This window comes from Homo sapiens, chromosome 22 (genome assembly GCF_000001405.40).
Source record: "Homo sapiens chromosome 22, GRCh38.p14 Primary Assembly".
Taxonomy (NCBI): Eukaryota; Metazoa; Chordata; class Mammalia; order Primates; family Hominidae; genus Homo; species Homo sapiens.
Window position 1 is genome coordinate 29,739,226 of NC_000022.11, and position 24,586 is coordinate 29,763,811.

The following is a 24,586-nucleotide window of genomic DNA, read 5'->3' on the forward strand; positions in this document are numbered from 1 at the left end:
ACGAATGGAATTTATACAAGCTGGGTGTGAGCGTTTGATGGGGTCAGAGTCGCCAAGTCATCTGGGATGGAGTCTTGGGCCAGAGGAAAGTAATCATACACTTGACTAGCACTCACTCAGAGCCAGGCCCCAGTCTCTGGAGCTCACTCGGGGCCAGGCCTCGGTCTCTGGAGCTCACTCGGGGCCGGGCCCTGGTCTCTGGAGCTCACTTGGGGCCGGGCCCTGGGCTGTACAGGTGTCATCTTGCTTCATCCTTAGAGACATCACATTCGACAGGACACAGCCTCCAAGAGGTTAAGCCACGTACCAAGGTTACAGAGGACGTGGCAGAGCTGGGACTGTCAGAGCTGCCAGCTGGGACTCTGTTCCCAGCCTCCCTGGGCCTCTCCCCATTCCTGTCCCCGCTCGGCATCGTCTCCAGTTCCAGGCCCACTGCCCCGTGCTCGTCCCACCATGGGCCAGCCGTCCTCTGAGAGCCCATAGCCAGGGAAGAGCTGCAGCTGCCGCTGCTGCCAGGACTTGCTGGCCAGTCCCACAAGGCCTTGCTTCCACCCTGGGGAAAAATGCTCCTGGAAACCCTGTGTTGGTCCCGGGGCTGCAGCCACAGCACCACTGGCTCCCAGGGCAGGGCACGGAGCCTGCAGTGTCTAACTGGTCAGAGGGGAGTGAGGCCCGTAGGGGGATCAGGGCAAAGGCCAAGCTGCCCCAGACCTTCACTGGCTACCCTGAGGCCTCCTGGACAGAGAAGCTTAAGGGGGCAGGCACTGAGAGACCTGGAGTCTGCCCCCAACCTGCTGGGGGGCTCACGCGAGGCCTTTCAGTCTGAATGTTGGCCTTAGTTTCCCCACCTGTTCAGTGAGAGGCTGTGGAAGAAGATTGATAAACACCATCTCAGTCAGAACTTCCTTGTTCTCTAACTAGAGGAGTGAATTTCCCAAAGGCGAGATGTCAGTTTCCATGGAAGCTGAACTTGCCCCTCCCTGGAATCACCAGGCTGTGAGACTCCAGAGGGCAGGGAAGGTGCGTTCCTAAACTCCTTATCCCTAGACTGTCGTAAGGGGTCTGCTTGGTGCCAAGTGGGGACTGGGTATGCTGCCTGATTGAGGAAGGGATGGGGTGTACCCACCAATGACTGCTGGGCTGGCCACAGGGTCCAGGTGGGGCTGAGGTGCACCTTCAGGGCTCCCAGGCAGGAAGCCACACAGGCTCCACTGTAAGGGGACACAGGCCTGCCTTCTCCACTCATGCTGAAGCTGTTCCTAACACCTGGCCCAAACCGGGGGCTCAGGGCTCCGCATCACCCTGGGTGGCCCTTGGTTGCCAATGATGGGGAGATAGGGAGGCATAGGCCAGCTTCCCCGGTCTCAGAGCCCACATGCCCCAGCACCCCACTCCCGCTTAGCCCAGGGCATCCCGAGACGTACCCTCCACCTGGATGCTCAGCTCCTGCAGGTCTCGCTCTGACATGTGGGAAAATCTGCAGTTGGAGCCAAAGTCGCACTGGCCTGCAGCAGGAAGACAGAGTTACTCGCTGCTCGGGAGGGGCTCCCCACAGGGGCTGAGGGGTGCCCAGATGAGGGATCCCAGAATCTTAGGGGCAGGACTTCAGGGCCTAAAGAATAGCAACCCTGATCCGGGACAGAAAATGGAATCTCTCCGGCCCTGCCCATTCAGCAGCCAGAGCGACTTCTCACCTATCATGCCACATGCTCACGACCCTTCTCCAGCTGCCCCCCATGCTGGGGATCACTTCCAACTGAAGCCTGTCATGACTGGGCCTCGCAAGCCTCTGCAGGCTGTCTCTGTCACCAGCCCTCCCAGCCCTGCCTCGATGAACTACATATGGGTTCCTGAAAGGGCAATGCTTCCTTTCTCCACTCCAAGCCGCAGCACGTGCTATGCCCAGCCTAGTATTCTGCCTGCCTACCTGGCTCACGGGAGCAATTGGACTGCTCCTTAGAAAGGCTTCAGTGGCAGCTTTGCCAAAGAGGCACCAAAATCTGGGGTGGCTTCCCCTCTTTCAACCAAGGAGACCAAAATGTATGTCGAGATACTGGGAGGCTGGAGGTGTCTCAAGCCAGGATAACCTACCAGTGACATATTCACATCAAGGCAAAGTCTGTAGGGAAGCCCCTGATCTGCAGGCTTGGTGCCCATCCTAGGGGAGCTTGGACATTCACCCAGTTTCCCTAGTTCAGCTGCAGCACCTCTCCCCAGTGCTAAGCTCCCTTACAAACCATGTGAATCATCATAGTTTTCCTCTTTGCCATGGCTGCCAGGAAGCTCAGAGCCAAACCCTTAGAGAATACATAGGACCTCAAGGGCAAGCATGGAGGAGACTATTCTCTTGGTTTTATCTTATTTTTCCTACTCTTATTTGTATCTGTCTTTGGTTCCTTCACTTACTGAGGTTTTACCTCTTGCTCTGTCTTTTTTTAAAAGAGACAGGGTCCTCACTCTGTTGCCCAGGTGGGAGTGCAGTGGTGCAATCATAGCTCACTGCAGCCTTGAACTCCTGGGCTCAAGTGATCCTCCTGCCTCAACCTCCCTAGTAGCTGGGACTACCAGTGTGTGCTACCATGCCCAGCTAATTAAAAAAAATTTTTTTGGTAGAGATGGGGTCTCGCTATGTTGCCCAGGCTGGTCTCAAACTCCTGGCCTCAAGCATTCCTTCCACCTCAGCCTCCCAAAGTACTGGGATTACAAGAGTGAGGCACCATGCTCGGCCCTTTATCTCTCTGACCTATATGCATCTCTAGTAGCTGAGTACTGAGCAGTCAAATCTACACCTAGCATCCTTGGTTCTGATCCTGAACTTCCTCAGATCATCAACCCTGTTACTCTCTGAAGTTCTGCCTGCTGGGAAGGAGGCCAGGTTCCCAGGCTAACTTAATCAACAAGTCTATTCCACCCATAAGTGTCTCTTGGATTTACATGTAATCTCCCACGCCTTGCTTGTTCTAGGTGAGCTGATATAATCACATTCTAGATCTGAAGAGCTGAGGACCAGACTCTAGGAGGTCCTGAGACACACTTGGGAAGGCCCTGACTGGCCAGTCAGCTGGAGCCACTGCTGCAAAGTGGGCTTGGGATGGTGGCCCGGGTCGGGGAAGACACTCTGCAGAGGTCCAAGTGGGGCAGGCTGGATATCGCAGGTCCCCGCAGGGACCTGAGCTGTGCAGAGGACTTTACCTGTCAGTAGAAACTTCCTGCAGGGCCGCTTGTTCTGCTCATCCAGCAAGATGGCAGCTGCATCTGCGAGAGAAGAGAGGGACGGGATTCGGATGGTTCAGGCTCCACCAAAGGAGGCAGGAAGTGGAAGCCACAGGGGCATATGGACCCTTTATCTCGACACAGCTGTGCAGAAAGAAGAGTTTCCTGTTCCACGGAGGAGTGGAAGCAGGAGATGACCACAGGTGGGAGTCCTGGGCAGATGGATCCGAGCTGCAGGTGACCTCAATCCATCCCACCCCACGCAGGACGGGCCAAAGACAAGGACCAAGTTTCATGCCAGCAGTTCTCAACTTGGCACGAGGGAGTCAGCTGGAGAGTCTGGGGACTTTGGGTTTTTTTGTTTTTTAGAGACAGGGTCTCGCTCTGTCACCCAGGCTGGAGTGCAGTGGTGCAATCATGGCTCACTGCAGCCACTACCTCCTGGGCTCAAGTGATCCTTCTCCAGTCTCAGCCTCCCAACTAGGTGTGACTACAGCTGTGCACCACCATGCCCAGCTAATATTTTTTATCTTTTTGTAGAGCTGGTGTCTCATTATGTTGCCCAGGCTGGTCTTGAACTCCTGGGCTCACACGATCCTCCCATTTTGGCCTCCAAAAGTGCTAGGAATACAGGTGTGAGCCACTGGGCCCAGCCTGGAGGTATAATACTTTAAAAAAATCCTGGCACTATGGAACTTCTCATTATTATCTTTGCAACTTGCTGTGAATCTATAATTATTTCAAAATAAAATGCTAAAAATTTTTAAGTAAATCCTAGTGCCCAGGAAGCCCACCAGCCAATCCCAGGATCCAGGCACTGCTCCACAGGCAAGACTGCAATCCCTGGCCTCTGTCTCCCCTCCTTCCACCAGCTGTAGGGCACTCAGGGCCAGACCAGCCACCGCCGCGGACAGGACTTCCGACAATCACTCTGTAGCATCGGCAATCACTCTGATCCTAATCTTAACCCTAGTTTCCTCTGATTTTTCCTATTTTTCTTTTCTTTCTTTGAGACAAGTTCTCACTCTGTCACCCAGGCTGGAGTGCAGCGGCATGATCTCAGCTCCCTGCAGCCTCCACCTTCTGCACTCAGGTGATCCTTCCCCCTCAGCCTCCCGAGTAGCTGGGACTACAGGCGTCCGCCACCATGCCCGGCTAATTTTTTAATTTTTTTGTAGAGATGGGGTTTCGCCATGTTACCCAGGCTGGTCTCGAACTCCTGGGCTCAAGCGATCCTCCCCACTTGGCCTCCCAAAGTGCTGGGATTACAGGCGTGAGCCACTGTGCCCAGCCTATCTTTACTTTCATCATATAGGTATGGTTTTAAATTTGCTTCTTGATAGGCAAGCTATTAATCAGTCAAAATCTGTAAGGAAGTAGGGTACCTGAGGATGGTATCCTGACTCAGGAACCCTTATATCCACCCCAGGGGAGGGGAGAGGCAAGGCCTGGGCTGGACATTCACCCACCACCTTTTCTAGAGGCCAAGGAAAGACCACAGGCTCCAGAGTCCAAGAAACCTGAGCTCAAATCCTAACAACATATGACCACGTGCAAGCTGCATAAACTCCAAGTCTCAGTTTCCCCATATGTCAAATGGGAGGATAGTTCCCACCTGGCAGGGCTGCTGTGAAAATGTCATCAGATAATGAATGGAGAGTGCTTTGCAGAGGAGGCCCGTGGCTCCCAACTCTGGTGGTACATGAGAATCACTAGGAAAGTGACCAGGTTTGCCTCTGGGGCCAGCAGTGGCCTTAGCACCATGTTCTCCAGGTATACGGCCAAGACTGGGTGGGTACACAGCAAATGGTAGCAATTCTTCATTTTTTCCTCACAAACCCTCTGAACAGCGCAAACATCCCCACTTTGCAGAGGGGAAAACAGAGGTTCAGACAAGGGAAGTGATTTGCCAAGGGCAACTGGTGGCTTGTGGGAGGCGGGGGCGGGCGGGGGGTGTGGTCTGCTGGGATAAGGAGTTGGTTGTCAGAGAACTCATGCCAGGGGGACCAGCAGGGTGGGGAGGGTCTATCTGTTAGCGCCGGGCTTGTCAGACTCATTGTACCCAGCTGGTGCTACAGACACCACTGCCTGCCTTTCCCTGAGGTGGGGGGGTACTAGGGGAGGGCATGTGGACATTGCCCTGGACCCCCAAGGCTGGGATGACTGAGGCAGGCGGCGGGACTGAGCCTGGGTCCTATACAAGGGGCTGTGCCAGGTGGCTTGGGGTGGGAGAAGAATTCCAGGCTGCCCACGTCCGCTTAGTGGTTCCTGACCCCAGCCACACATCAGAATCACCAGGCAGTTTTTAAAGTACATGGACACCCGGCCCCAGCCCTCTCAGGTTCTCTTTTAATTCATTGGAAGGGAGGGCATCAGAATTGTTTAAAGCTCCTCGGTGACTCTGAAGTGTACTCAGGGTTGAGAACCCCTGGCCCAGGCCCTGCACGAGGAAGCCCATGCTCTTGCAGTGGGTATTCAAGGCCCCTCATGATCTGATCCTATTGGTCCTTCTTGCTTCATCTCCCAGATGAACAGCTGCCCCTGGTGCCTCATGTTTCTTTGCTCAATCACTTAGACATTCATCTGCCAAACATTCACTGAGCATGTCCTGTGTGCCAGGCACCACGCCAGGCTGAGGATTTAAGTGGAGAACAAGTCGGAGCTGGTCCTTCCTTCTGGTCCAACAGTCACACTAATCCCTATGGATGTAAGCGGGGTAAACATCTAGCGTGTAGCCAAACGACCTGACCCGTTCTAGGGGTCGGGGAGGACGTCCCTGAGGATTTGCTGCCTGACTTGAGTTCTGAGGTGGTGGGGGGGCCTGGCTTGGGGCAGGGAGGACAGCAGGAAGGGCATGTCTACAGAGGGGACAGCTTATGCCCAGCAGATGCAGTGGCCAGGGTGGCTGCAGCTGGAAGGGAGAGGCCGGCAGGTCATGGAGGCCTGGGCAGGACAGGGGCTTTGCCCAGAACACACCATTCTAATTGGGCGCAAGCTCGCTAGGCAGAGGGGCCCTATTTTATCCACCTTTGAATCTTTAGAGCCTGCCTGGGAGCCGCGGACATGCTGAATGAATGAGCCCATGAGATGAAGGCTGGAGGGAATCCTTCTGAGGACCCACAGGCACCATGCCTACTTAGTAAGCTCTTATGTGCCATGCAGTCATCATGAGGTTACTGAGCCCCTGTCATAGCCCTGGAAGGTGGGGACTGTTGTAGCTGTTTTATACATGACAAAATGAGGGCCACAGTGTTAGTGAGTGACACCTGGGGACTGGTGCCCTGCACCTGACCATGGCGGATGGATCATCAGCCCCTCTGAGGGCTAAGGGGACGTGGCCCAGGCCAAGAAGCTGGGAGCAAAGCTGAAGTCGAGTTCATTCACACGGTATATCCGCAAGTCCCTGCGGTTGCTCAGAGTGAGCAGAAGCCCTGGGGCAGCCTCCTGAGGAAGTGGAAAGAGGTCATGTGCCAGCTTGGTCCTCGGTAGCTGGGGACCCAAGGTGAGGGAACCCACTGCCCTGGATTTTATTTCATTTATTTATTTTTTTTTGAGACAGGGTCCCGCTCTGTTGCCGAGGCTGGAGTGCAGTGGTGCAATCTCGGCTCACTGCAGCCTCCACCTCTTGGGGTCAAGTGATCCTCCTACCTCAGCCTCCTGAGCAGCTGGAACCACAGGAATGGGCCACCATGCCTGGCTAATTTTTTTATTTTTGTTTTTATTTTTTTGAGATGGAGTCTTGCTCTCTTGCCCAGGCTGGAGTACAGTGGTGTGATCTCAGTTCACTGCAAGCTCCACCTCCCAGGTTCAAGCAATTCTCCTGCGTTAGCCTCCAAAGTAGCTGGGATTACAGGAACCCACCACCACGCCCAGCTAATGTTTGTATTTTTAGTAGAGGCAGGGTTTCACCAGGTTGACCAGGCTGGTCCTGAACTCCTGACCTCAGGTGATCCACCCACCTCAAACCTCCCAAAGTGCTGGGATTACAGGCATGAGCCACGGAGTCTGGCCAAATTTTTTTATTTTTAGTAGAGATGGGGTTTCACTATGTTGCCCAGGCTGGTCTTGAACTCCTGGACTCAAGCGATCCTCCCACCTCAGCCTCCCAAAGTGCTGGGATTACAGGTGTGAGCCACCATGCCCTGCCTGCTCTGGATTTTGAAGTCACCACCTGTAACTGGGAATGCCTGGCTTGGCCTGCCCAGCCTCTTACAGAACTGTTCTAAGGACTGAATGTGTTGGGGATGTGAGGACACTGAGAACACAGGAGCCCTGGGGCACTCCTGTCACCTGCTGCTTCATCTTTTCTATAAGTGACACAGGGACCTCTGCCAATCAGCCCTGGATCCCAGCATCCAGCTGTTGACAGCTGAGAATCTGGGACTAGGTGATCTCGGCCCAGCTCCCTCTAGATCACAGCCCACACTGGATTTGCACAGCAGGGAGCCTTAGCGTAACACCAGGGTTAGAGTCTCCTAGGGAGCTAGGAGACCCCACTGCCCATGAATTTTCCTGTGGCCTTGCAACCACAGCCACGCCTGGCCTGCTGAGCAGCCTGGCCACCCCCTCACTTGAACCTCTGAGCCTCAGCTCCCTCAAGTGAAATGCGGAGTCTGGGAAGCCTTTAGAAACACCATGCCTAGTCCCCAAACCTGCCTCTGGGGAGGGGATGGGGTTGGGGAATCAGTGGTTTTAGCCTAAAGGTCTCCAGGTGATCCTAACCTGCAGCCGGAGTTGAGAATCACTGCCCTAGAGAGTTGTCGAGAAAAGCAAATGACGAACTATGAAAAGCACCAGCATGTAGCAGGCATGCGATCCATGCTCATTCCTTGTTTGTGAACTCTCAGTTTCAGGCCTTTTTTGAGGCGGGGTCTCACAATGCTGCCCAGGCTGCTCTTGAACTTCTGGGCTCAAACAATCTTCCCACCTCAGTGTCCCAAAGTGCTAGGATTACAGGGGAAAGCCACCACACCTAGCCCCAACCAGGGAACTCTCTCTCCACCTCTCCTCCCTTCTTGGCTGCTGGATTTGGTTCCTTCTTCGGAGGCCCTGTCCCAGAATCCTGCTCACCAACCTACAGGGCATCGGCCCCACTCTGGCTCATTCCAGGAGCTCCTGGCCCACCCTCGCCCCACCGCCAAGTGCCCATATCTCTCAACCTGGCTCCTGCCAGTCACCCTCTGGAACCTCCCTGGCTGTTCCTCAGTGTGAATGTCCAGTGACAGCCGTGCAACAGCACAACTCCCCTCTCTGGGCACCTCCCGGGAAACAGGCCCTGTGCTAGGCACTTCCGACCTTAGCTCATTCACCCCAATTGTTCTTGCTCTGAGAGGCCTTTCCCAGAAGAGCCTGCCTTCCTTCTGCAACTGGGTTATTCACCCGTGCCTGCAGCCAGTCATTCAACTGCCACTGACCGCACCCAACTGCTCCCCACGAAGCAGTCTGCGCTGTCAAGGCAGGTCTGGCCACGGCAGCTAAAGCCCTTCAAAGGCTGCTCTCTGCCCTTGGAACAGGGACCCCCCCACCTCCGCCCCCTGCTTATGATGGCCTCCACAGGCTTGGAAGATCCCTGCCCCAGAGCCAGCTTGAGCCCTACCATTCTCCCCTGGCCTGCTCCGCCCAGCCACACCCTCTCCCTCCTGCTCCGAGAGCCCTGGTGCTGGACTCAGGGCTGCCTGCTTCTCTTCACACCCTCCACCCAGAACTGCATGGCTAGCTTTCCCCTATTTTAGCTGTTGGCTCAAACATCACCTCCTTCTAGGGCCTTCCTCCTGTCCACAGAGCCTTCAGTCAGCGTTGTTGGGGAAAGAGCTCACCTACCAGCCTGCTCCTCTGAGGGCCCAGTGGCTCAGGCCTCCCTCTCTTTTGATCCTCAAAGAGCCCAGACCTAGACTGTCACTGACCCACAGGAGTCTTTGATGATAAGAAAGATCAGAGAGCAGGGCTCCAGGAGCCTGGCCCCCAGCCAGCGGCACCCACCTCGGAACATGTCGTACCAGACCTTCTTGGCCTTGAGGTGCTGCAGCCCGTTCAGGTGCTTCTTGCGGTTGTGGAGGTTGTCCTGGAAGGAGCGGTCGCAGTAGTCACAGAAGTATCGCTTCCCCATGGCCACTCAGAGCAGGTGCTTTGCTGCCTGGGAAGCCACAAAGAGCTCAGATTAGACCATTGGAGAAAACACATCCCTCACCAGCCCACTGAATGCTTCCTGAGGGCCAGGCCTGAGCCCAGGCTTTACTCATATGCACCCCGCCCCATTAGGAGTGTCAAGCTGATGAGTATGGCCTAAGAGGCCTCATTCCAGAGGGATCTGTTAACCATTCTGATGCCCAGCCTGCAACTTAGGCCAGTTAAAGTAGAACCTCAGTGGGTGAGGCCTGGGCACTGTTTTTTCTTGAGAGGGTGTTGCTCTGTCACCCAGGCTGGAGTGCAGTGTTGCAAACACAGCTCACTGCAGCCCCCACCTCCTGGGTTCAAGCAATCTTCCTGTCTCAGCCTCTCAAAGTGCTGGGATTACAGGCATGAGCCACTGTGCCTGGCTGCTGTTTGGTAGTTTTTAAAGTCTATCAGGTGATTCTAACATGTAAGTAGGCTGAACTGCCACCTTATACCCTGTGGCTGGCCTCCCTTGTCTCCTACCACATAGGGTTTTATTTTTTTGAGACAGAGTCTCGCTCTGTCACCCAGGGTGGAGTGCAGTGGTGTGATCACGGCTTACTGTAGCTTTAACCTTCTGGGCTCAAGTGATCCTCCCACCTCAGTCTCCCAAGTAGCTGAGACTACAGGTGCGTGTCATCATTCCTAACTTAAAAAAACAATTTTTTTGTAGAGATGGGGTCTCGCTATGTTGCAGAGGCTGGTCTCCTGGGCTCAAGTGTCCTCCCGCCTTGGCCCCCCAAAGTGCTGGGATTACAGGTACGAGCCACCGCCCCATCCCCTACCATACCTCTGACCTCCACATTTGCATCATATAGGCCACACCGGCCTCCCCTTTGCTCCTCACACATGCCAGGCACATGGCCACCTCCCGGCCTTTGCACCCAAGGCTCCCCAGGGAGGGGTATGCCCTCCTGCAAACTCCCGCCTCACTTCCCCTCCTGACCCCTTCCATCTTTGCTCCAATGCTACTTTATCCAAGATGGCAGAATCTTCCACTTAGCTTCCTCCACTCCCTGCTTTATTTTCCCTCATAGCATGTATCACCCTTTGATATGGTGAGGCTTTGTATCCCCACCCAAATCTCATCTCGAATTGTAATCCCCATAATCCCCAGGTGTCCAGGGAGAGACCAGGTGGGGGTAACTGACATGGGGGTGGTTTCCCCCATGCTGTTCTCATGATAGTGAAGAGTTCTCACAGGATCTGATGGTTTTATAAGGGGCTCTTCGTGCTTTGCTCAGCACTTCTCTCTCCTGCTGCCTTGTGAAGAAGGTGCCTGCCTCCCCTTTCCCTTCTGCCATGATTGTAAGTTTCCTGAGGCCTTCCCAGCCATGCAGAACTGTGAGTCACTTAAACCTCTTTCCTTTGTAAATTACCCAGTCTTGGGTATTTCCTTATAGCAATGTGAGAACGGACTAATACACCCTTCATGCAATAAGTTACTTGTTATGTTTACTGTCTTTCTCCCACAATGAGAATATAAACCCATGAGGGCAGGTTTGTGTTTTGTTTACTGCTGGAGCCCCAGCACCTAAAATAGTGCACAGTACAGAGTAGGCATTGAAGTACTTGTTAAATGTATCAATTCTCATTTTCCCTTTGGGACAACTGAGGTTCAGAGAGGGAGTGTGATTTGCCCAAGGTCACACAGCTGATAAGCAGAAGGCAAACCCAGTCCCCTAACGTTACATTGCCAGGTGTCCTCTCTTCCACAGCCAGTTCAAGGCTTAGAGAAGCCAGAGGGCGCAGGCAGTGAATGCTGACAGCTTCCCAAGGAGATCACTAAATTATCAGGTGGCAGGTCCGAATCCAGTCACAGAGGGAAATGAAAACATTTTGGGGTCTTAAGACCCCTCAGCCATGGTGACCACAGCCACCACTCCTGACCCAGGAGATCTGCAGCCCAAGGTGGGTGGCAATTCAGTGACTCTCATGGCCAGCCCTTGGGTCCATGAGTATGGTGCTGCAAAACAGGAGGACAGACAGGTCCACTTTGGGCCACCAAGGGGGATCTGCCAAGGCTGAGCCCAGACCAACTGCTCACCCTGTGGTCAGACCCCTCACTTCACAGAAAAGGTTCCTGAGGCCCAGATGAGGAAGAGAAATGATTTCCCCCAGGTCACAAGGTAGCTATCCGGGCTAGCAGCCAAAGCCCTGGACTCCCAGGACCTGATCACCACAGTGGACCAATGGGGGAACACAGCTCAGGAGGAGGAGACTGGGGAGAGACACAGAGACAGTCCCAACAGCCAAGCAGGTTGATGGAGAAAGCCATTCTTGCAGCAGACAGGGACAGCAGCCATTAAGTCAGGGGCTGTAATGGGATCAGGAACAGACAGTCATTCAAAATGAAAACATATAAAACCTCTCTTCTCCCATTACTGCAGAGGGACCGTGTCCCAGACACGCACACTTGATATATTAAATTTGGCAGCTCTAATACACCCCATCTTGTCAATAAACTTATAGGAATTGGATTGAAATTGTAAGAGATGAACGTTTAACGGCCGAGTGCTAAACCAAGCCATTCAGAAAGCTTGAAGCTCCCAGAAGCTTGCTGGCGCTGGAGAGTAATGGGGAAGGGAGGGGACAGGGAGGGTGGTTCTCTGGGAGACTGGAACAGAACGGTGGCTCTGCGGCCTACTTAGATAGACAAAACCACACAGGCATTGAAAAGCTGCCTGTGTGACCTTGGGCAAGTCACTTCCTGTCTCTAGGCCTCTACGTTCACTGTGGGAATATGAGGCAATGGCTGCTTGATCAGGAAGTGGTACAGAGAAGTTTCCTAATGCAGATGGTGAAAATGATGCTGATAATACCTGGCATTAAGCAAGTGCTCAATAAATATTACCTATTATTAGGGCTAGTGGTTTATTGAATACCTACTACGTGCTGGCACTAAGCTGAAAGCTCTATATGCATCATCTCATTTAATCCCCAGGACAACCTGTGGGGGAGGGCCTGTTATGCCTTTTTAGATGGGGGCACTCAGGTTCCAGAAATGAAGTGACTTAGCCAAGGTCACACTGCTAGGAAGGAGCCCCGCTGGGCTTGGAATCCAGGTAGCAGGCCTCTAGGGTCCCCACTCCTGATCACATAATGAAAGTCTCCTCCTTAATCCCAGCATTTTGGGAGGCCGAGATGGGTCGATTGCTTGAGACCAGGAGTTCAAGACCAGCCTGGGCAATAGAGTGAAACCCCATCTGTACAAAAAATGCAAAAATCAGCTGAGTGTGGTGGCACATGCCTGTATTCCCAGCTACTCAGGAAGTGAGGCAGGAGGCTGGCTTGAGCCCAGGAGGCAGAGGCTGCAGTGAACTGAGACTGAGCCATTGTACTCCAGCCTGGACAACACAGCAAGACCCCCATCCAAAAAAAAAAAGTCTCCTTCCAACAAATCATAATAATGACAATTTTCCTTTATTAATCACTAGCTACACCCTAGGACCATGCTAGCCCCTTCAAGCCCCAAGAGGTGTGGATTATAATCTCATTCATGAATGAGGCAACTGAGGCCCAGACAGGTGCCATGAGGGGCCCCAGCTCACACACATAGGAAGGGCAGAGCAGGCCTCAGGGTACCTGGGGCTCAGGTCTGCCAGGAAAGCCTGTCTTCATGCTGCCGTGCTAGCTGTCCCAAACACCAGCCCACCAGGAAACTGGACCACACGCTCCTCGGCCTGCCTCCCCAGCCACACTCTGACCCAAATGGTAAGCCCCTTTGGTGGGCTGTATGTGTGTGTATATGTGTGGGTGTTCATGTTTTCCCCCCTCTCTCTCACCCCCTCCACTCCATGGGGGGCAAACCAGCTAATGGTTCCCTTCACTTCATCACCTTGTCAGCCTCAGCTCAGGGCCATGGCTGCCCACCCATGCCCTCCTCTGCCCACCCATCATCTAGCACATGAGAAGTGTTCGGCCATCCTGGATGGGTCAACACGACCCCACATTCCAGTCCCAGCTCTGCCACGTGGCTCAGTCTGTGACTCAGCCACTTGCCCTCTCTGGGCCTCAGTTTCCCCATGTGGGAAGCTGCAGTGGCAGGACCAGTTGATCTCTAAAGGCCTCTCTGGTTCTAATATCCAGTGATCAGATGAGAAGATGCCCAAAATAACGCTTTTTTAAAAAATGTAAATATTGGTCTCGCCATGTTGCCCAGGTTGGTCTCAAACTCCTGAGCTCAAGTGATCCTCCCACCTCTGCCTCCTGCAGTGCTGGGATTACAGTCGAGAGCCACCGCACCAAGCCGGCAATGCTTTCTATCTACCTGTCACAGACACATGTGCAGTGTCAGGCCAGGGAGACCAACGGGCAGCACAGTCCCTCTGGGACGGGAAAGCATGCTCACTGAGCACCACCTGGGCAGGCCCCTCCCTGACCCTCTCACCCTAAGAAGCAGGTCACAGCACCCCCATCTCACCTCCGAGAGCGGGATACCCAGCCTGGGGACAGCACTGAGCATCAGGACCAGCTATCTCTGCATTTCTGTGCCTGGGGAGGCTGTCCGGGGACAGAGTTAAGAGCTGGCTCTGGAGTCAGATGTCAGGGCTTACATCCAGTCGCTACTGCTTCCTAATTTTCTCACTCAGTGATACTGGCATTTCTGGCCTTGTTTTCCTGCTATGAAAACTGGGATAATAACAGTGTTCAGGCCAGGCGTGGTGGCTCACGCCCATAATCCCAACACTTTGGGAGGCTGAGGAGGGTGGATAGTGAGGTCAGGAGTTAGAGACCAGCCTGGCCAACACAGTGAAACCCTGTCTCTACTAAAAATACAAAAATTAGCTGGGCATAGTGGCGTGTGCCTGTAGTCCCAGCTACTCAGAAGGCTGAGGCAGAAGAATTGCTTGAACCCAGGAGGCAGAGGTTGCAGTAAGCAGAGATCGCACCACTGCACCCCAGCCTGGGTGACAGAGCAAGACTCCATCTGAAAAAGAAAAAAAAAATTGCCGGGTGTGGTGGCGCATGCCTGTAATCCCAGCTACTCGGGAGGCTGAGGCAGGACAATCACTTGAATCCAGGAGGCGAAGGTTGCAGTGAGCCGAGATCGAACCACTGCTCTCCAGCCTGGGTGACAGAGCAAGACTCCCTCTCAAAAAAAGCAAAAACAACAACAACAAAAAAGAACCAGCTGTGCAGAGCCCCCACTGCCCAGGGATGGCATTGGGGTGAGGGGGCACACATTCTACCTACTTCACAGTCCTGTCCCCACAGGCATGTGCCTGAGGCCATGTTCCCAGACAGAGGCTGGCCTTCAACAAGATGACCTCGCTCAGATGTAAAATTCTAGAGCTCCTGAACCAAATGCCTCCCGCTCTGATGCCTTTGCCCACATTAGGATAAGGTTCAACTTGCAGAATCCTCTGGACACATGCAGCGCCCTGCCAGACACACAACTTGGCAAGCAGAATGCCGGCTGGAGTTCAGCTCCAGCTCACCCCTCAGCCAGGTGTCCTTGCACAAGGTGCAACCTGCACCACCGTACTTGGCAGCCGAGGAGGGGTCAGGGACAGGGGAGGAAGGGGACAGCTGGAGTGTCTCTAAATGGCGCCCAGATACCATCATGGGGTGCTGACTAAGCTGGCCCCCTCTGCTGTGATTCATCCCCATCCTCTGAGGGTGGCACACGCAGCAGAGTGTGAGCGAGGTCCCGTCTGGAACACAGAACCATCCGGCCCCACGCCCTGCCAGAAACACAGGTGGTGCCATCCACCCACTCCCAGGGACCAGGTGCACGGCTGCAAAGGCATCTGCTGGATCCCTGGAGCACCAGCAGGTGAGAGTGCTGGCTTCTCTTGGCCAAGGGGCAGCGGGCAAGGCTAGTGGGACAACCTCTGGGTCACATGGGTCACATCTGAATTCCAGCTCTGCTGCTTATGAGCTGGGTGACCCCTGGGAAGTCATTTCATCTCCCTTGATCTATTCTTAGCTATAAAATATGGATCCCACAGCTGCTGAGGTTTACCGAGGCAGTAGTACATTAAGGTGCCTAGTAGCCAGCTGCAATGGCTCAGGCCTGTAATCCCAACATGTTGGGAGGCCGAGGTGGGAGGATCACTGGAGCCCAGGAGCTCGAGACCAGCCTGGACAACATGGGCAGACCCCATTTCTACAGAAAGAAAGAAAAAAATTAGGCAGGCATGGTGGTACATACCTGTAGTCCCAGCTATTTGAGAGGCTGAGGTGGGAGGATAGCTTGAGCCCAAGGAGGTCAAGGCTCCAGCCAGCTGAGATTGCGCCACTACACTCCAGCCTGGGTGACAGAGACCCTGTCTCAAACAAAGAAAAAAATGTGCCTAGCATATAGTTCCTGCTCAATAACGGAGGCTGTTACTGTTGTTACTATTATCATCCGGGCTGCCCACCCCCTCACCCTCTAAGTGAACACACTCTGAACCCCACTTTAAAATCGCAGTCAAGGCCGGGCACGGTGGCTCATGTCTGTAATCCCAGCACTTTGGGAGGCCAAGGTGGGTGGATCACTTGAGGTCAGGAGTTTGAGACCAGCCTGACCAACATGGTGAAACCCCGTTTCTACTAAAAATACAAAATTAGCCAGGCGTGGTGGCACACGCCTATAATCCCAGCTGCTCAGGAGGCTGAGGCAGGAGAATTGCTCAAACCCAGGCAGCGGAGGTTGCAGTGAGCAGAGATTGTGCCACTATGCTCCAGGCTGGGCAACAAAGTGAGACCTTGTCAAAAAAGAAGAAAGAAAGAAAGAAAAAAAGAAAGGAGAGAGAGAGAGAGGGAGGGAGGGAGGGAGGGAGGGAGGGGGAGAGAGAGAGAGAGAAAGAAAGAAAAAGAAAAGAAAGAAAAGAAAGGAAAGAAAGAAAGAAAGGAAACAAAGAGAAAGAAAGAAGAAAACTAGTCAAGGCACTGTGGGGTGGCAGAGAGGAGAAAAGAGGCTGGGGATGGTGGGTGAGGGGTGACAGCTTCAGATTTGATTCCCGCTTGCTTGGCACTTCGCTTTCATTCCCTTATTTAATCCTCCTAGAGACACTCTGAGTAGATATCAATATCAAGTGTCCATTTTACAGACCAGAAAACAGTTTTGGGAAAACTCGGTCCTAATTTGTTCACAGCCATGGCCAGAAAGACTCTAATAATAACCATAACAATTACTGTTAGTGTCAGTAACAATAATGACACATCAATAACCAATAACAACCACGTCTCATCATCCTGAGCTGCCAGTGGGCCAGGGTGCCATGGACCCCCACATCCCCTCCTGTGGAGTCTTCACCATGACACTGTGAAGCCACGTGCCTAAGGCCCCACAGCCAAGGCACACCAGAGCTGGCACGCACACTTGGGTCTGGCTGACCCCAGAGCCCACTCTCTCTCCATCCCACTGTCCTGCCGTGAGGCTGCTACAGGGCAAACATTTGCGCTTCATCAATATTCTCCATTCCTTTCGTTGTGTGTGTCTCAGGTACAGAAAGAGCTGGCTTTGGCACAAGGCAAAAATAAGCCAACAGCTCGGCCTTTGGCCAGGGGCTGGGATGTGCACTATAATTATCCTGGACTTGTGCTCACCACAGGCGACCCTGAAGCTCACCTGTTATTTTTTCTAATTATGGCACCTCCAGACCCCAGGTAAACAGTAAACCACAGCCAGAGGACGGCTTTATTGCACGCCCACTAGGAGCTCGGTAATGTCCCAGTGTCATATATGCCTGCCATCTGGAGTTGATGGCATCAGAACCACCCTGTGGGGGTGGTCTGCAGACTGCTGGTGCAGGACCCTGTTCGGAAGGAAGCGCCAAGGAAATCCAGATGTCTTTCCTGACCGAACCCCCGTATGCTAGAGGCATCCTTGAGATCCTTGGGTGGCAGCCACACACCTTTTTCATCCTGACCTCATCCCTGTGTTTGCCTCCTGCCCTCCCCTGGGGTAAGGCACATCATCTTTTTCCCACAGGTCTAAGGCAGCGAGGGGCCCACCCACTGCAATTTCTGACTCGGCAGGTCTGGGACAGGGCCAGGATGTAAGAAAGTCCTGATTCAGACTCCACAGAGAAATGCGAGTCCAGGCTGGGCACAGTGGCTCACACTTGTAATCCCAGCACTTTGGGAGGCCAAGGTAGGAGGATCACTTGAGCCCAGGAGTTTGAGACCAGCCTGGGCAACATAGTTAGACCCCATCTCCACAAAAAAATTTTTTTTAATTTGACCAGGCATGGTGGCGCACACCTTTAATCCCAGCACTTTGGGAGGCTGACGCAGGTGGATCACCTGAGGTCAAGAGTTCGAGGCTATCATGGTGAAACCCCATCTCTACTAAAAATACAAAAATTAGCTGGGCATGATGGTGCATGCCTGTAATCCCAGCTAGTCGGGAGGCTGAGGCAGGAGCATCACTTGAACCTGGGAGGCGGAGGTTGCAGTGAGCCAAGATTGCACCACTACACTCCAGCCTGGGCGACAGAGCGAGACTATCTCAAAAAATATATATATTTTTTAATTAAAAAATTAGCTAGGTATGATAACACACACCTGTTGTCCCAGCTGCTTGGGAGGCTGAGGTGGAAGGATCACTTGAGCCCAGGAGTTCAAGGCTGCAGTGTGACGTGATCACGCCAGTGCACTCCAGCCTGGACAACAGGGTGAGACCCCAATCTCAAAAAAAAAAAAAAAGGACTTCACAGAAAAAAAAAAAAAAACAGAAAGAAATGCTAGCCTAAGGTAGCAGATGATGGACAGAACAGAGAGGGTGAGAGCATGCTCAAGGTCACACAGAACAATCCTTTGAAGCTGTTTTCCCTTAAACACAACTACTCTAATCACCAACCCAGGTCTGAATCCAGTCCCTGCCACTCTCAGGTTGTGTAACTCTCAGCAAACTGCTTACCTCTGAGCTTCATCTGGAAGACGAGGGTAATGACTCTATTTCATAAGATTACTGTGAGAATTAAATCATGCATGCTAGCTGCTTAGCACAGTGCCTGGCACGCCAATGGTGCTTCACACACGCTTGTGCATGTTGCAGCCAGCCTCCAAGCCCCCAGCAATCCCACCTCCTGATTTTCACACCTTGTGTAGTCCCCTCCAAGCTGGGTCAGGGTTGGTCTATGTGACCAAGAGAACAGAGCAGAGGTGAGGGTATGCCATTTCCAAGAACAGGTTATAAAAGACACTGCAGGGAGGGCATGGTGGCTCACACCTGTAATCCTAGCACTTTGGGAGGCCAAGGCGGGCAGATCACTTGAGGTCAGGAGTTCGAGACCAGCCTGACCAACATGGGGAAACCTCGTCTCTACTAAAATACAAAAAATTAGCCGGGTGTGGGGCGTGCACCTATAGTCCCAGCTACTTGGGAGGCTGAGGCAGGAGAATTGTTTGAACCTGGGAGACGGAGGTTGCAGTGAGCCGAGATCGCCACTGCACTCCAGCCTGGGCAAGAGAATGAGACTCCATCTCCAAAAAAAAAAAAGACACTGCTGCTTCCATCTCAGTGTCTTCTTTCTCTGATCACTTGGTCTGGGGGAAGCCAGCTGCCACACTGTGAGCAGCCCTGCAGGGTGGCCCACGTGGCAAGGAACTGAGACCCCCTGCTAACAGCCACGTGAATACATTTGGAAGCAAACCCTCTGGCCGCAGTTAAGCCTTCAGAAGACTCCACCCTGGCTGGTATCTTGACTGCAACCTCCCAAGAGACTCAGCCAGAACCACTCAGCTAAGCAGCGCCCAGATTCCTGACCCTAGAAACAGTATGAGAAAATAAAAGTTTGTTGCTTTAGGTTGGACGCAGTGGTTCATTCCTGTAATCCCAGCACCTTGGGAGGCCAAGAAAGGAGGATTGCTTAAGTCCAGGAGTTTGAGACCAGCCTGAGCAACATAGTAAGACCCTATCTCTACAAACAGTTTGTTTTTTTTAAATTAGCTGGGTGTGGTGATGCATGCCTATAGTTCCAGCTACTTGGGGGGCTGAGGTGGGAGGATCGCTTGAGCCCAGGAGATGAAGGTTGCAGTGAGCCGAGATCATGCCACTGCACTCCAGCCTGGGTGGCAGAGCAAGACCTCATTCAAAAAAGAAAAGAAAACTTAATAGGATTATGTCCAGATTTTTTTCATTTGGTATCTATTTTTTAAAGTTTCTATATTTGGCATGTATTGTTTTAAAATTTACACACACACAAAAAGTCCCTTCAAAAAAAGTGGGGGGCTAGTCCAAGTGCAGCAGTGTTGGTGACTAACTGATCACAACCAGATACAGATTTCTTTGTTCCTTCTGCACTCCCACTGCCTCGCTTGACTAGCCTCTAAAAAAGAGAAAAAGAACAAGAGGGAAATTTGTAAGGCGGGGATAAATCCTATTCCTTCTCCCTCTGGAGGCTGCCATGGAGGGTTCCAGAGACCTGGTTCACTCGGATGAACCAGCCAGGGGTGGTAAGTGAAAGAAATAGAGCAGACATTCCCCTCACCCCCTGGATGAAGACTGACAAGGCAAACCCTGATTCCAACCAGACTTGGCCTAGCACACCCCAAGGCCTGGTGAAGGTCGGCTGAGCCTGAATCTGGGCTCCAGGAACTGCGGGCTGGAGACAAGTTTCTCATCAGATAGTTACAGGTCCCAAGAGGCCAGAGTTTCCAAATAGGAAAGGTAAAAATAGTCTGAATGAGGCTCCTGAACCAGATACTTGGACTCAGAACTGTCTCTGCCTCCCGCTTCTTCTCTCCCGAGTCTGGGCACCAAATATCATCTGATCCTCTATCTCCACTGTCACTACTGCCCAAGAAAGAACTCAGCTCCTCACCTCTGGACTCCTCACATCTGGACAGCCCCCTCCATTCACTGTATCATAAGCAGCATCAGATCAACTCTCCTTAAATCATCCCTGCTCAAAATTTTCCATGGCTTCCAAGTGAGAAACTTATTAAAAATGAATCTCAGCTAAATGCAGTGACTCACACCTGTAACCCCAGCACTTTGGCAGGCCAAGGCAGATCAGTTGAGGTCACGAGTTCAATACCAGCCTGGGCAACATAGTGAGACCCCGTCTCTAAAAAAAAATTTTTTTTTTAATTAGCCAGTTGGGGTGTCATGTGTCTGTAGTCCTTGCTACTCAAGATGCTAAGATGGGAGGATCACTGGAGCCCAGGAGTCTGAAGTTACAGTGAACTCTGATCATGCCACTGTACTCCAGCTTGGGCAACAGAGTGAGACCCTGTCTCAAAAAAATAAAAGGGGGCCGGGCATGGTGGCTCATGTCTGTAATCCTAGCACTTTGGGAGGCTAGGCGGGCAGATTACCTGAGGTCAGGAGTTGAAGACCAGCCTGGCCAACATGGTGAAACCCTGTCTCTACTAAAAATACAAAATTAGGCCGGGCACGGTGGCTCATGCCTGTAATCCTGGCACTTTGGGAGGCCAAGGTGGGTGGATTGCCTGAGCTCAGGAGTTTGAGACCACCCTGGGCAACATGGTGAAACCCCATCTCTACTAAAATACAAAAAATTAGCTGGGAATGGCGGCACGAGCCTGTAGTCCCTGCTACTCGAAAGGCTGAGGCAGGAGAATTTCTTGAACCCGGGAGGCGGAGGTTGCAGCGAGCCGAGATTGCACCACTGCACTCCAGCCTGGGCAACAGAGCGAGATTCCGTCTCAAAAAATAAAAAAATAAAAAAAATTAGCTGGGCATGGTGGCAGGCGCCTGTAATCCCAGCTACTCAGGAGGCTGAGGCAGGAGAATCGCTTGAACCTGAGAGGCGGAGCTTGCAGTAAACCGAGATTGTGCCACTGCACTCCAGCCTGAGTGACAGAGACAGACTCCTCTGTCTCAAAAAAAAAAAAAAAAAAATTAGCTCAGCGTGGTGGTGCACACCTGTAATCCCAGTTACTTGGGAAGCTGAGGCACGAGATTGAACCCAGGAGGTGAAGGTTGCAGTGAGCCCAGATTGTGCCACTGTATTCCAGCCTGGGTGACAGAGCAAGACTCTGTCTCAAAAACAAAAAAATAGTCTCCTGGGTCAGGTCCCCAGAAATCCTGATTTAGCAGATCTGGAGGGGGACCTAGAAATCTGCATTTTAACTAGCAAGTCTAATACCCCTTAAGAAGCAAAAGCCTGGAGGAATGAACTTTCCCTTGAGTTCCAAATGCAGCCTCTGCTGGGGACAGTTATTCTGGGTAGACACAGCCCCCTGGACTCATGTCCCAGCTAGAAATCAGTCCAATTATGAATAACCTCAGGTCACTGAAGTGGTAATCCAACTTGATGCTAAGCACAATTAGTTAAAGTGGATAAAGCTGTTTTCTTACTAGATAAGTGTCTTGTCACACTCCTGGAAAGTTTAGAATTAAAAATAGAAGCATAAGAGCAAATCAAATTCACTGTATTAATGTTCCTATCCTAAATTTAGTAATAATCTGTATATTTTGGAATTAAAAAGTAGCTGTTGGCCAGGCACGGTGGCTCACGCCTGTAATCCCAGCACTTTGGGAGGCTGAGGCAGGCGGATGACAAGGTCAAGAGATCGAGACCATCCTGGCCAACGTGGTGAAACCCTGTCTCTACTAAAAATATAAAAATTAGCTGGGCGTGGTGGTGCGCACCCATAGTCCCAGCTACTCAGGAGCCTGAGGCAGGAGGATTGCTTGAACCTGGGAGGCGGAGGTTGCAGTGAGCCGAGATTGTGCCACTGCACTCTAGCCTGGTGAGAGTGAAACTCCGTCTCAAAAAAAAAAAAAAAAAAAAAAATAGCTGTAGACAGGGCATGGTGGCTCACACCTGTAATCCCAGCACTTTGGGAGGCAGGAGGATCACTTGAGCCCAGGAGTTCAAAACCAGCCTGGGCAACATAGGGGAACCTTGTCTCTACAAATAATTTTTAAAAAATTAGCCAGACATGGTGGTGCGGGCTCGGGCCTGTGGTCCCAGCTACTACTGCTCAAGAGGTTGAGGTAGGAGGATCGCTTGAGCCCAGGGAGATGGAGGCTGCAGTGAGCCAAGATTGCACCACTGCACTCCAGCCTGGGTGAGAGAGTGAGACACTGTCTCAGAACAATCCTACTGGGAACTGTGCATGCGAGGGATCTAGGTTATGTGCTCCTTATGAGAATCTAATGCCTAAAACAAAAAAAGTATCTGTAATATTGAAAAAAAAATGTGATATGTTGAGTGTCTAACAGATAAGCATTGTGATTCCTATTTAAAATACAAAAGTTAAAATATAGAGTTAGTGACAAAATATATGTCAGTAATTGATATTAGAGTTGTGATTTTAGATTGAGAGGTTAGCAATGATTGGAAATATGGACTGTATAACAGAATTACCTGGGGTGCTGTAAAGGTTACTAAGGGGCCCCCCATATATTCCTATTTCATGTCAGAAATACAGCCTGTTTTTTTGTTTTTGTTCTTTTTAGCTCCCTAAACTAAGAGCCACTGACATAGAGAATTTTACTAAGTCTGTAAAAATAATTATTTATAAGAACTTGAAATTCATTATAAGTTTAATTGATTAGATTTTGTAGTAACTCTTTACTCTGGGGAAAACTGTGCTTGTTATGTTATTCATATAAAGTACTTAAAAAGAAAATCAAATATATTAAATTTACAAATAGATTTAAAATGTTGGCAGGAATGAAATTAAGCTGTAAATAGGGATGAGTGTCTTGAGAAATTCAGAATCTTCAACTTGAGTTCAAATATTAATAAAAAAATTAAGGTCATTTTTCTTATTTGCCGATATTTATGTATTGAATAATAATTTCTAAGTTGAAATACATGGCTTAAAGCAGGGGACCCCAACCCCCAGGCCCCGGAACGGTACGGGTCCATGGCCTGTCAGGAGCTGGGCCGCACAGCAGGAGGTGAGTGGCAGGTGAGTAAGCGAAGCTTCATCTGTATTTACAGCCACTCCCCATTGCTCGCATTACCGCCTGAGCTTCGTCTCCTGTCAGATCATCGGCAGCATTAGATTCTCATAGGAGCACGAATCCTATTGTGAACTGCGCATGCGAGGGATCTAGGTTGCACGCTCCTTATGAGAATCTATGCCTGTTGATCTGTCACTGTCTCCCATCACCCCCAGATGGGACCGTCTAGTTGCAGGACAACAAGCTCAGGCCTCCCACTGATTCTACATTATGGTGAGCTGTATAATTATTTCATTATATATTACAATGTAATAACAGAAATAAAGTGCACAATAAATATAATCCACTTGAATCATCCTGAAACCATCCCCCTCCTGTATCCCGTCCATAGAAAAACTGTCTTCCACAAAACTGGTCTCTGGTGCCAAAAAGGTTGGGGACTGCTAGTTTAAGGGAAATTACGTTTTTTAAATGATTACCTCCGAATGAGAATTTAAAAGATAAAATATAAAACCAAAATCCAGTACTTTGAGAGGCCAAGGTGGGAGCATCCCTTGTGGCCAGGAGTTAGAGACCAGCCTGGGCAATGTGGCAAGACCCTCTCTCTACAAAAAAATTTTTTTAAATTAGGCTGGGTGGGAGGCCGAGACGGACAGATCACCTGAGGTCAGGAGTTCTAGACCAGCCTGGCCAAGATGGTGAAAACCCATCTGTACTAAAAATACAAAAATTATCCGGGCGTGGTGGCAGGTGCCTGTAATCCCAGTTACTCGGGAGGCTGAGAGAACAGAATCACTTGAACCCAGGAGGCAGAGGTTGCAGTGAGCTGAGATTGCACCACTGCACTCCAGCCTGGGCAACACAGCGAGACTCTGCCTCAATAAATAAATAAATAAATAAATAAATAAGGCCAGGTGCGGTGGCTCACACCTGTAATCCCAGGATTTTGGGAGGCCGAGGTGGGTGGATCACGAGGTCAGAGATTCAAGACCAGCCTGACCAACATGGTGAAACCCCTTCTCTACTAAAAATACAAAAATTAGCTGGGTGTGGTGGCGGGCGCCTGTAATCCCAGCTACTCAGGAGGCTGAGGCAGGAGAATTACTTGAACCCAGGAGGCGGAGGTTGCAGTGAGCCGAGATGGTGCCACTGCACTCCAGCCTGGGCAACAGAACGAGACTCCGTCTCAAACAAAATAATAATAATAATAATAAATAAATAAAAATTAGGCTGGGGAGATGGCTCATGTCTGTAATCCCAGCACTTTGGAAGGCCAAGGTGGGTGGATCAGTTGAGCTCAGTAATTTGAGACCAGCCTGGCCAACATGGTGACACCCCTAAATTTTTTTAGTCTTTACAAAAAATCTATAAGAAAACCAGAAAACGAAATTAGTGGGG

General features: G+C 51.6%; 1 protein-coding gene across 3 annotated transcripts in view, besides 2 other annotated features; it reads right to left on the minus strand.

Annotated features, from left to right (window-relative positions):
• Nucleotides 1-24,586, minus strand: part of ZMAT5 (zinc finger matrin-type 5) — a 36,052-nt gene that overhangs the window by 8,270 nt on the left and 3,196 nt on the right. For 2 of the 3 annotated variants that reach the window (NM_001318129.2, NM_001003692.2), the window contains exons 2-4: nt 9,193-9,346; nt 3,193-3,255; nt 1,425-1,505 (exon numbers count right to left, since the gene is read on the minus strand). In NM_001318129.2, coding sequence (NP_001305058.1) covers nt 1,425-1,505; nt 3,193-3,255; nt 9,193-9,319 — 271 coding nt within the window. In that variant the 5' untranslated portion in view covers nt 9,320-9,346. Of the gene's footprint in view, nt 1-1,424; nt 1,506-3,192; nt 3,256-9,192; nt 9,347-15,523; nt 15,639-24,586 lie in introns of all 3 variants that reach the window. The other variant, NM_019103.3, reaches the window with a different exon arrangement.
• Nucleotides 8,199-8,946: an enhancer, noted in NCBI's record as "H3K4me1 hESC enhancer chr22:30143413-30144160 (GRCh37/hg19 assembly coordinates)". NCBI's record gives its function as "activates a minimal SCP1, AML or CMV promoter by ChIP-STARR-seq in naive H9 embryonic stem cells {active_cell/tissue: H9 hESC(naive)}" and the evidence as "EXISTENCE:reporter gene assay evidence [ECO:0000049][PMID:30033119]".
• Nucleotides 8,947-9,692: an enhancer, noted in NCBI's record as "H3K4me1 hESC enhancer chr22:30144161-30144906 (GRCh37/hg19 assembly coordinates)". NCBI's record gives its function as "activates a minimal SCP1, AML or CMV promoter by ChIP-STARR-seq in naive H9 embryonic stem cells {active_cell/tissue: H9 hESC(naive)}" and the evidence as "EXISTENCE:reporter gene assay evidence [ECO:0000049][PMID:30033119]".